At 51.6% G+C, this 12,784-nt stretch overlaps 1 pseudogene; it reads left to right on the forward strand.

Moving 5' to 3' along the window:
* The window catches only part of LOC102723999 (rho GTPase-activating protein 23-like), a 42,759-nt pseudogene extending 30,507 nt beyond the window's left edge, over positions 1-12,252 (forward strand).
* Positions 12,253-12,784: the final 532 nt, after the last annotated feature.

The raw sequence follows: 12,784 nt of genomic DNA on the forward strand, positions 1-12,784 counted from the left end.
TATTGTCTTCCCTCTACAGATGAGGAAACCAAGGCTCAGAGAGGTTTAATGCCTTGCCCAAGGTCACACAGGTTGTAAATGGCAGAGCCAGGATTCCACCCCAGGCGTCGGGCTCCGATGCGCTTTGGCTGTTTGCTGAACTGCTTATTCACAATCTGTTGTGTTTCTCTCCTGGCCCTCTTATATGCATGGCAGAGATACACACGTGCCTGCGTGGGGTTTGGAGTTGGGTGGGTTCAGGGGTGTGCTGGCAGATGTTTAACATCTGTTTCTGGGAGAAAAAAGCCCTAATGCCTAGCGTTTTCCAGCTTCCATGGTGTAAATACTCCTACCATGGTTTATTTCAAGCCACCAACATGATGTCACCAACATGGAATTGGGAAGAGAGGCACACAGTTGCTCTCAGGAGCTGGTGTGAGCGGACTCCAGCACACCGCTGGTTGAGTTGTCTTTAACAAAAGCAGAGTTGTAATTCTGAGATTCATTCGTGTCAGTGCAGAGAGCTCTACCTCATTCTTCTTTTAAATCAACCACATAGAATTTCATGGTTTGAATAGACTATAATTTCTTTAAGTACTCCTCTATTGATGGATATTTAGCTTGTCTTCAAATGTTTGCTATCACACAACCTGTTGCAATGGCTTTCCTTGAATAAGTCCTTGCACGCCTGGATCTGTGCTCTCTAAGGGGATTCTTAGATGTAGAATTGCCGGGTCAAAGTCCTGGTGAACCTTTCTGAGACCAGTGTCAATTGCACTCTGAGAAAGAGGCCCTGATTTAGACTCCCACTAACAATGTAGGAGTCTGTCTCTCCACATCCCCAACAGCATTGGATATTACAACTATTATTGTTATTTGAAGGCCAGGCATGGTGGCTTATGCCTGTGATCCCAGCACTTTGGAAGGCTGAGGCGGGTGGATCACCTGAGGTCAGGAGTTCAAGACCAGCCTGATTGTGGTGAAACCCCATCTCTACTAAAAATACAAAAAGTAGCTGGGTGTGGTGGCAGGTGCCTGTAGTCCCAGCTGCTAGGGAGGCTGAGACAGGAGAATTGCTTGATCCCAGGAGGCAGAGGTTGCAGTGAGCCGAGATCGCACCACTGCACTTCAGCCTGGGTGACAGAGCAAGACTCCATCTCAAAATAAATAAATAAATAAATAAATAAATAATACAATAAAATAAAAATAAAAATACTATTATTTGACACAGGATCTTGCTCTGTTGCCCAGACTGGAATGCAGTGGTACAATCATGGCTCACTGCAGCCTCAACCTCCTGGGCTCAAGTGATCCTCCCATCTCAGCCTCCTGAGTAGCTGGGACTACAGGTTTGTGCCACCATACCCATCTAATTAAAAAAAATTTTTTTTCTGGTAGAGGCAGGGTCTCACTACGTTGCTCAGGCTGGTCTTCAACTCCTGGTCTAAAGTGATCATCACTCCTCGGCCTTTCAAAGTGCTGGGATTTTAGGCTTGAGCCACCTCACCCAGACAGCATTAAATATTATTAATATTTTAAACTTTTGCTAATCAGATAAGAGAAATGGTATCTCATTATTGTTTTTATTTTCATTGCCCTAATTACTAGGGAGATTAAATCTTTTTTCATTAGCATACTGGCTGTTTCTATTTTCTCTGTAATTACTTGATCAGACCATGTGCCCATTTTTCTGTTGGGTTGTTTATCTTTTTCTTATGTTGATTTGTGGGAGAAAAGCTCTTTGTGTTTTACACATATTAACCCTTTGTTAGTTTTTGCAAATATTTGCTTTGGCCTGCCATTTGCCTTTTCACTTTGCAGTATAGAAACTGAAAACAAAATTTTTGTTTGTTGTTGTTTTGTTTTGTTTTTTGAGACAGAGTTTCACTCTTGTCGCCCAGGCTGGAGTGCAATGGTGCGATCTCGGCTCACTGCAACTTCTGCCTCCTGGGTTCAAGCGATTCTTCTGCCTCAGTCTCCCGAACAGCTGGGATTACAGGTGCCCACCATCATGCCCAGCTAATTTTTGTATTTTTGGTAGAGACGGGGTTTCACCATGTTGGCCAGGCTGGTCTCAAATTCCTGACCTCAGATGATCCACCCTCCTTGGCCTCCCAAAGTGCTGGGATTACAGGCGTGAGCCACCGCGCCCTGCCTAACAATTTTTAATTTTATTTTTATTTAATTTTATTTATTTTTTTGAGACTGAGTCTCACTCTGTCACCCAAGCTGGAGTGCAGTGGTACGATCTCAGCTCATTGCAACCTCGGCCTCTTGGGTTCAAGCCATTCTCCTGTCTCAGACTCCCAAGTAGCTGGGATTACAGGCACCTGCCACCATGCCCAGTTAATTTTTATATTTTTAGTAAAGATGAGGTTTTGCCACATTGGCCAGGCTGGTCTTGAACTCCTGACCTCAATTGATCAGCTGATGTGCCTCAGCCTTCCAACGTGCTGGGATGACAGACGTGAGCCACCGTGCCTGGCCGAAAACAATTGTTTAAAATGTGACCAAAGCTGTTCATCTTTTCTTCATGGATTCTGCATCTCATGTTTAGGATGGCCTTAGGATTATAAAAATATTTTCTTATTTTTTCCCCAGAGCTTTTATAATTTTCACAATTGGCTCTGCCGTGTGATTGCATTTGTGTATTGTGAGCTAGAAATGATCCCCCCCGCCCCTGATGGTAGCCATTTGTCCCGGGGACATCTGTTGAGGCCCCCATCCCTCCCCCCGATTGGAAGTGCTGCCTTTATCATATAATAAATATCCACATGGCCCACTTCCCCCCTTTCTAGCCTTAACATTGCTCTGCCTTTTCTGCCGTGCCAGCCGGCTTCAGCTGTGCCATCCATTCAGGATGTTTCAGTCCCTGGTAGGGCAGATCCTCCCGCGTTACTCTTTCTTTAAAAACTATTCCTGGCTGTCTTTGTGCATTAGCTCATCCAGATGAATTTCAGAATAGGCTTATCATGTTCCATTCTTTAAAGGTCCCCATGGAATTGTTCTGAAGGGAGTTGGGGGAATCCTTGGTCGAGGCTGTCTGAAGCCCCTCCTCCTCTCCAGGTGCCCTTCTCTTCTGACCTGCTGAACCTTGGTGTCCATGTCCTGGAGACGGGGGCATGGACCCCTTTTCTGCGATCAGCATGCACCTCAGGTCGTATTGCCTCCCAAATGAACACAGCTGGGCTACCCCAGGTCAGGTGCACACCCGAGTGTAGCTGTGGTGAGTGCAGCTGTGGTGAGTGCAGCTGTGGTAAGTGCAGCTGTGGTGGGTGTGTTCACATACACAAGAGGCTGTCGCCCATGCTGGAGCCCCCGAACTGGAGGAGTTCAAAACACAGCCCTCCCAGCAGGGCCCTCGGCCTGGAGAACAGGGTAAGGTGCTGCCCCTACCTCTCTAAAGAGTCTCTGCTGTGTTCTAGACAAATACAATGACTTCATCGAGGCCAACTGCATTGAGGACGCGCGGGAGCGGATGAGGACGCTGCGGAAGCTGGTAAGGAGAGAGAGGTGCTGCCAGGCACGAGGTGGGGCAGCTGCCTGAGCACCTCTGTCCCAGGAGGCAGGGAGTCCGGTGTTACCCACGACCCCTGTGGCCTTGCCCTGCTCCACTCAGGGCATCAGTTTCCCCATCCACACAAGAGAACGGGGGGTTAGAGGATAGGTTCCAGACTCCCTGAGGCATGGTAGTGGGAGATCTTTGGGGCATGGTGGTGACGGGGGACAGCGGCAGGCCCTTACAGCCTGTCCCCATGCCCCTCCTCTCTCCTGCTCAGATCCGGGATCTCCCAGGACACTATTATGAAACGCTCAAATTCCTTGTGGGCCATCTCAAGACCATCGCTGACCACTCTGAGAAAAACAAGGTGGGTAGGAGTCCCGCATGGAGTCTGGGGGAGGCAAGCACGGACTTACTGTGTGGGGGCCCTCAGCACGCACTGAGCTCCTGCAGGTCCAATAACTCAGGCCCCTCTAGGCACGCCCTCCTATATGACTGCTCCGTCCCCATCCCGCTCCTACATGCTGGTCAGTGCTTTCCCCCAGAGAGCCATCTCCTGAGTTTCTGAGGGCTTTCCAGAGGCAGGGAACCCCGGCTCCCCGTATCGGATGCATTGCCATCCTCCGACTTAGCTCAAGTCCCTCGCATTGCATTTTCCTCATCAAACCCCTTATGCCTTCTGGTTCTGCAGTGGGGAAAATGAAGGGAGTGATAGGATTTTTTGTGTTTTTTGTTTGTTTGTTTTTTTGAGACGAAGTCTCACTCTGCCACTCAGTCTGCAGTGCCTTGGCACGATCTCAGCTCACTGCAACCTTCACCTCCCGGGTTCAAGCAATTCTCCTGCCTCAGCCTCCCGAGTAGCTGGGATTACAGGCACCTGGAAGTGATCGGGTTTTTTCCCAGGCCTAAAATAACCCCTGGGACCTCCAACATGTTTCCTACTGCAGGGTCTCCCACTGCTGGCACTGACCACTCAGGGCTGCCCTGTATAGGTGTGCAGGTTGGGCACTGCTCATGGCTGCTGGGCCTGGGGATGAAAGGGGCTGAAATCTGGCCTGTGCTCTACTCATCAAGCATCTCCATGCCCATACAAGGGGGTGTCCACCCTCTAAGCTGGGGACTGGTGAGGATGTAGTTGGGGACAGAGGCCTTAGGGGCCAGAGTGAGGGAGGACTGAGTTCAGGATGTTGACAGTGACCTGCTTTCCCTGCTGCCCAGATGGAACCCCGGAACCTGGCCCTGGTCTTTGGGCGGACACTGGTGAGGACGTCTGAGGACAACATGACAGACATGGTGACCCACATGCCTGACCTCTACAAGATCGTGGAGACACTGATCCAGCACGTAAGCCCCTGTTCCGGGGGTCACCCGGCAGCCCCTGGGGCCCAGGCCATGTTCCTCTGAGCCCCTCACTCTTGCTCAGCCTGGCGGGGTGTGCCCCAGGAAGGGCTCGGCAGCTTTAGAGCATGCTGCTAGGGTGGTATGTACTCCTCCAAAGCCATGGGCTGCATTTCAAGGCAAGGCAGGAATGGATCCTGGAATCCTTGCTGCCCTGGGATGTTGTGTCCCCAGCAGGAGAGTCAAGAGGCCCCCGAGCGTCCAAGATGCCTGGGAAAGGCAGAAGAGGAGGAAGGGCAGGGAAGGTGCTACAGGTGGAGGGCAGAAGGGGCAGCTTCAGAAGGTGGCCCCTGGAGAGGTGTCCTGGCAGACACGAGCAGACGGGGGCCAAGGTCTGGCCTGACATCAGGAGGCCCCGGCTCTAGTGACTTTCCCTGCTGGCCCCACTGAGGTTTTGGGGAGGTAGAGGTGATGTCCATGGTAACAAGGGGTGGATGGGGCAAGGCACAGGGCCTTGGCCTGAGGCAGGATCCTGCACCAGTGCTTGGCATGTACTGGGCTGGCCACCTCCCTTCTCATGGCTTCCTGGATGCCAACAGCCGTGGTCCTGTAGGTTCTTGTTACCGTGCATGGGCGGAGGAGAGCCCAGAGTGGCCAGCAGAGGGCTCAGGAGGCCTTGGTCTTCCAGAGCCCAACCCTAAGGCAGCACTGCCGCCTTCTGGGGCACACACAGATGTCATTATGAATCATAGATTTTCCATTTCCAATTCTTGTTACAGCCCACAGAGGATGAGAACAGAGCCCCTCCTGCCAGGGGAAATAAGACTGGCAGCTGGTCAGAGGAAGGGAAGCCTCAGTCCCAAGCCCCCTAGACACTTTAGGGAAGGAAAGCTGGGCCCTATCACCCCCATTTTACAGAGGAGGAAACAGGCTCAGAGAGGCAAAGCAACTTGCTCATGGTCACACAGCTAATAAGTGGCAGCCCAAGATTTCAAGCCAGATCTGACTGACCAAAGCCTGTGTTTTCCTCCTGCTATCAGCCCAAAGGCCAGACTCCTAGGTCCCTCCTTGAGCTGGCTTGGGACGGAGGGAGGGGGCCAGGGTAAGGATGCGAGGTGGTGGGCAGCTGAGCCATGTTAACAGCCTTGCTTGCCCATCTCCTCCTTCACTGCATGCTCAGGGCTCCGAGCCACAGGAGGGAGCATCACAGCCTGCTGCATCCGGACACTGGGAACACCACTCCAGAGCTGTCTGGGAGGCCAGGGCTGCCCTGCAGCATCCGGGATCCTGGTGAGGCCTTGGGAAAGCTTAGCTCTCCAGGGCACCAGGGAGCCCCGGAACCTCCCAGGAGGGTGTGTTTTGGGGGCAGCAGCAGGGAAGAGTGGGTGTCTGGCCCTGTGCTCCTGGAGAAGCCCCTGGAAGCCCAAGGTCTGAAGTCAGCTGAGGTGTCAGGAACTGCAGTCTTCAGGGAGGAAGGAGGCCAAAGCCCCAAGGGGGAGTCCCTGCTCTGGGCAGGGTGGAGAAGGTGGAGTTTGTCTCATTTAGCACTGACACTAGCGCCTGGCACACAGTGGATACTCAGTGTTTGTGGAGTATAAATGAATGAGTAAATTGCTAATTGAGGTTATATCAGGCTGGGCTTTTCTTTCTCTTTCTTTCTCTCTCTCTCTTTCTTTTCGCTTTCTGGTTTTTTTTTGTTTTTTTTTTTTTTTTTTTTTTTTTTTTTTGATAGAGTCAGTCTGTCGCCCACACTGGAGTGCAGTGGGCAAATATGGCCCACTTCCAGGCTCAGGCGATCCTGCCATCTCAGCCTCCTGAGTAGCTGGGACTAGAGATGCCACCACCACACCAACTGGCTAATTTTTGTATTCTTTTGTAGAGATGAGGTCTTACTATGTTGCCAGGGCTAGTCTTGAACTCCTGGACTCAAGCGATCCTCCCATCTCGGCCTTCCAAAGTGCTGGGATTACAGGTTTGAGCCATCACGCCCGGCCAGGCTGGGCTTTTCTACTCAGAGATTCATTCCCGAGAGCTAACTGAGCTAGTGTCCTTCCCTTCTCTGCCTCCTTGGCATTTGAACGTAACCAGCCCTGGATGATTGTCAAGGGAATGAGCCACCCACTCTGCAAGCCCTGAAAGCCTGCCCACCCAAGCGTGCCAGCTCTGTCTAGCCCAGAGGCTCCATAGCCAGGGCAGTGCTGCTGTCACTTGGGGCACCCAGACCAGTCTTCAGGTCGGAAAGAGGGTGGCAACTGAGGGGTAAAGAGGAACAGCGACTTGCCCAGGGCCACGCAGCAAGATAATGGCAGAGCAGAGAGGAGAGCAAACCTGGATGTCTGATCTTGCAGCGGGCAAGTTGCCAGGAGCCTCTACCTATGTTTACGAAGTCAAGTGGAACCCAAACAAAGATCACCCAGGGCATTTGCTCAGGGACTCACTCAGCAAAGGCAGTGACACCTAATGTTTCTCAGCTTCAGCACTAGTGACCACTGAGGTCCAGATAAGTCTTTATTGTGGGAGGCTGTTCTGTGTGTTATAGGACATTTAGCAGAATCGCTGGCTTCTACCTGCTGGATGCTGGGAATATCACTCTAGTTGTCACAATCAAAAATGTCTCCAGACATTGCCAAGTGCCCCCTGGGGTGGGAGATTGACGGCAGTGGCTCTAGGGCCAGCCTGCTCCTATGTGCTGTGTGGCCTTGGACAAGTTCCTTACCTGCTGTGCCTCAGTCTCCACACCTGTAGAGATGACAATACTGTTTACCTCACATTGTTGTGAATGTCTGCTAAAGCACTCACGGCGGTGCCTGGCAGGTTCTAAGTGTTGTGTGAGAACTGAATGTCATCCTCTTCCTCGTGGTCATTATTCCACGCCAGAGACAGATCCCCATGCTGGAAACACGGAGGTGAATGGGAACCTGCTCAGAAGGAATATTGCCAGCGGGTGTGGTGGTGCGTGTCTGTGGTCTCAACTACTTGGGGGGCTGAGGTGGGAGGCTGCAGTGAGCCGAGATTGCGACACTGCACTCCAGCCTGGGTGACAGAGTGAGACCCTGCCACACACACACAAAAAAATCCATAAAATGATGTTTCTCATTCATTTATTCATTTAATAATGTTTATCAGAGTAAGAGCTGCATCTCTTTTTGCTCTGGGCTATGTCCAAGGAAGCCCCACAGAAGGACCCACCCTGGCCCTGGGTGCAGGGCTGGGGTCGTAGTCATGGAGTTCTTGAACTGCCTTAGAGGACCATGATGAGAACTTAGCCAGGCAGAGCAGGGAGAAAGGGCATCCCAGGCGGAAAGAACAGCATGTGCAGAAACAGGGTGGCAGGAACTAGTGTGGATTCCTCTTGAGAGCCGTGGCCACCCGGGCACTTCCTGTAGATGCTGTGGCTTGCAGAGTACTTCTGGGCACCTTCCAACCCGAGTTAACAGCTGGCTTCTTTGGGCCGATCCTCAGGCTCCCCCTGGTCAGCCTGTCTCTGGAAGACGCACTTTTGAATAACGGTAGCTGACATCTATTATACATTAACAACGTGCTGCACTCAACATTTTCCATACAGTATTTCATCTCAATCCTCCTCAGGCCTAGAAGGAGGTACTCACATCATGCCCGTTTTAGAGATAAGTAAATAGACTTACAGAGGGAAAGTAACTTGGCTAAGGTGAACTCGAACCAAGATAACTGACTCCAGAGCTTCCATTTTTCTTTTTCTTTTCTTTTTTTTTTTTTTTTTGAGACAGAGTCTCACTCTGTCGCCCAGGCTGGAGTGCAACAGCGCAGTCTCCACTCACTGCAGCCTCCAGCTCCTGGGTTCAAGTGATCCACCTCAGCACCCCCAAGTAGCTGGGATTATGGGCGCACGCCACCATGCCAGGCTAATTTTTGTATTTTTAGTAGAGCTGGGGTTTCACCCTGTTGGCCAGGCTGGTATTGAACTCCTGACCTCAGCTGATGCACCTGCCTCAGCCTCCCAAAGTGCTGGGACTACAGGTGTGAGCCACTGTGCCCAGCCAGAGCTTGCATTTTTCTTATCTTCCTTCGCTCTCTTCTCTTCTATCTCTTTCTTGTTTCCCTTCTGGCCTTCCTGTGCTGTTTGATTTAATCACATGTCAGATCATGAGCAATAATAACTGAGGCTCATGGCACATGCTCAGGCAAGTCCCCTTGTTTCCCCTCTTCATTCCCCTAGGTGCCCACTCTTAATAGGCTAATATGTGTCCTTCCAGGACACCTTCCACTTATTGTAAATGCATGGCTATCCTTAAATATATATAATATTCTTTGTGTGTTTTGAGTCTACATAATGAGATTATAAATTGCCTGTTCCTGTTCTTTCATAGGTGTTGAGGGGGGTAAAGGGTAATTGACTTAATTTTTATTCATTTATTTTTTTTGAAATGGAGTTTCACTCTTGTTGTCCAGGCTGGAGTACAGTGGTGCGGCCTCAGCTCACTGCAACCTCTGCCTCCCGGGTTCAAGTGATTCCCCCACCTCACCCTCCCGAGTAGCTGGGATTACAGGTGTGCACAACCATGCCCAGCTAATTTTTATATTTTTAGTAGAGATGGGGTTTCACCATGTTGGCCAGGTTGGTCTCAAACTCCTGACCTCAGGTGGTCCACCCATCTCAGCCTCCCAAAGTTCTGGGATTACAGGTGTGAGTCACTGCACCCAGCCTGTCACTGTCAATTTCTAATGCTTATCAGTTTCTGTGTCTTCCTTCCACCACATCTAAAAGCCAAAAGTGGTGGGTGCAGTGGCTCATGCTTGTAATCCCAAAATCTACAATTTTTTTTTAATTAGCTGTGCAAGGTGGCACATGCCTGTAGTCCCAGCTATTCAGGAGGCTGAGGTGGGAGAATCTCTTGAGCCCAGGTGTTCAAGGGTAGGATCATGCCACAGCATTCCAACCTGGATAACAGCGAGAGACCCTATCTCAAAAATAAATTAATAAATACAATAAAAGCCAAAAGTGCCTTAGTTATTTCTTGGAGCTTGCCGAAGTCCATCTCTTTACTTGCTCAAGTATTCAATTAAGAGAGTCTTTGTGTAAAAAATTTTCTGCTGTCTCAGGATAGCTTTATTTCAAGGCCAGGTGTGGTGGCTCCAGAGAGCAGGAGGTTCACTTAAGGGGTGATTAAAACAATCTGTGGTATGCCTGTAATCCCAGCACTTTGGGAGGTGGAGGTAGGTGGATCACTTGAGGTCAGGAGTTGAGACCAGTCTGGCCAACATGACGAAACCCCATCTCTACTAAAAATACAAAAATTATCCAGGCGTGATGGCATGCACCTGTAATCCCAGCTACTTGGGAGGCTGAAGCCAGAGAATCACTTGAACACAGGAGGCAGAGGTTGCAGAGAGCCAAGATTGCACCACTGCACTCCAGCCTGGGTGACAGAGTGAGATTCTGTTGGAAAAAAAAAAAAAAGAATAGCTTTATTTTACATTCTCATTTTTTTAAATGAGAGTTTAGCAGGGTATAAAATTCTAGGTTCCTTCAACACATCAAAACTTACTTTCTTGTCTTGTCTTCTTGTGTCTTGCTGCTGAAAGTTCCAAGTACCTGTGATACGTGTTCATTTATAAGCAATCTGGATTTTTTTTTCAGAAAACTTAGAATTTTATCTTCAAGATTCTCAAATTTTACAAAATATATTAAACTGTGGGGGTCTTTATTTTGTCTCTTGTTTGGCCTTTATGAGAAAGCTCTCGCCTCCTGCCCGTCAGGAAACCTCCAACACCTTTCTCCTGTCATTTTCCTTTTCTGGGCTGAGTATGTGACACCCCTGTTGTCAGTGTGGCACCCATGGGTGGCAGGTGGCCTGGGGCATGCTCGGCTGTCACAGCCATGGACCTGGCCAACACTAACGGCACTGGTGCCTCCCTGCCCCCCGGCTCGCTGTGGGGAGTATGCCATAGGGGTGTGCCCAGGACAGTGTTTAGAGAAAAGCAAGTAAAAGCGAAGCTCTCCCTAAGCCTATCTCCCGTCTGACGTGGCCGCTCCCACTCACTGCCGTGTCTCCTCCCACACTGGGGTCCCACCTTTTCTCTCCCCCAGGGTTTTTCATAGTCTGTGGAGTCAGGTTTTAGCATCCATCAAGCTCCCTCTGAGCCCTCTTTTGCAGCCCCACCAGCCTGGGGTTTGTTGAGAGAGAGGCTCCCCTTGCCGCCTGAGTGGGTCCTCTGGAATGAGCAGGTGGAAGAGACTCTTCTTTCCCATGCTGATTTCATCCCTTCCTTTTGTCTTCTCTGCAGTCAGACTGGTTCTTCAGTGACGAAGAGGACAAGGGAGAGAGAGAGTAAGTGATGCTGCGGGCTGGGCTGGCATGGGGGCTGGTCTGGGGTGAGCCCCAGTCCTTGGGGGTGGGGCAGGCAGCGAGACTTAAGCTGGGGAAGGTGTCTGTCCTTGAGGCTTCCCTCAAGTCTGATGGAGGAAACACAGACCCTCTCCTCAGGAGCCCCTAGTCTGATAGATAAGCACAAAGCTTGCCTTCAGGAATCCCCAGTCTAAATGGGGGAGATACAGGCCTTGCTCAGAGGGAACCCAATTCAGGAGTAAAGGCAGCTCCTGCCCTCCAGGCTACTGAGAAGGACTTAGGTTGGAGGAGTTCCAGTCTAGTGCGGGAGACACAGCTCCTGCCCCTAGCTGAAGGGGCCGCTCTGGCCTTCGTGGTTCTGAGATGTTGAGGAAAGCACAAAGCTGTCTAACAGGGGACATGTAGGTATCATCCTTAAGAGCACCCGGCTGATGAGGGAGACGGTCCCTGCCCCAGTGAGCCCAGTCTGATGGAGGAGACACGGGCTCTGTCATCAGGGCACCCCCCTCTGGGGGGTCGGCAGCCCAGCATCCGAGGGCATGCCAGTTGACCCCTCCTCCTGTTCGCAGACCCCTGTGGGCAGCAAGGAGCCTCAGGCAGTGCCCAACATTGAGTACCTCCTGCCCAACATTGGCAGGACAGTGCCCCCTGGTGACCCGGGGTCAGGTGAGCACAGGGGCCTGGGAGTGGGGAGGCAGGAGGGTGGACACTGCATTCCTGAGGGTCCCAGATACCTGGCCAGATGCCCAGCTTCCCTGTGCCACCCCAGCGGGGCCCTCCCCTGCCAGCCACCATGGAGATGGGGCTGTTGGGGGCCTTCTACCTCCCTGGGGAAGTCCAGCTTGCCCCGTGCCCACCTCCTGTCTGTGCAGCTGCCCCGCCCCAGGCAGGGTTGGAGCTTTGTTCCCCCTCTCTCACTGGTTTCTTTCCTCAGCCTTTAATTTCTCATGGGCTGGCTGTGTCCCTCTGGGCATGTTCCTCTTTTTAATTTTTCTTCCTTTTCTCCTTGCACACCCACCTCTCCCTCCTCCTCTCCCCGTGCTCTCCTCCCACCCCTTTCTCTTCTCCTCCCCCTCCCCTCCTCCAGCGGACCTGTTGGAGATTTAAAGAGTACAGTGCAGTGTCGCGGCCTCGGTCACTAACAGTGGCGGGTGATTATAAGAAGGCTGGGTGGGCACAGAGGCAGGCAGAATGTCCCGGACTGTGAGGACCCCACACTGACATGCCAGTTACCCCTGCTTGTTATCCACTTACCCCAGCAGTCCATGCCCCTCCCATCCTAGAGCCCCTTCTCAGGAGGAAGGAGGCACTCACTGGGCCCAGGGCCCTCCCCGTTGCCTGGACACCGGGGCATCGAATTGCTGCCCTTCTGCAGTGCCACAGACCTTGTGGCCTCTCTTTGCCGAGTCTCACCACTGCTAGTCATCCGGGCTGGGGACCGACACTCTCTGGAGACCAGCGATGCCATGCCCAGAAGCTTCTCTTTATCTCTAACTCCTGCCTCAGTCACCCCAATGGGCCGCCTCCTCCTGCTTAAGAAACCGGGGCCCTAAGTCCTGTTTGCAGGGCCTTTGGCCCTCTCATGGCAGAGGACAGATGATTTACATGCTCAGAGACAGATGAGGGCCACTCCCTTTGT

The sequence above is a fragment of the Homo sapiens genome (assembly GCF_000001405.40).
Source record: "Homo sapiens chromosome 16 unlocalized genomic scaffold, GRCh38.p14 Primary Assembly HSCHR16_RANDOM_CTG1".
Taxonomy (NCBI): Eukaryota; Metazoa; Chordata; class Mammalia; order Primates; family Hominidae; genus Homo; species Homo sapiens.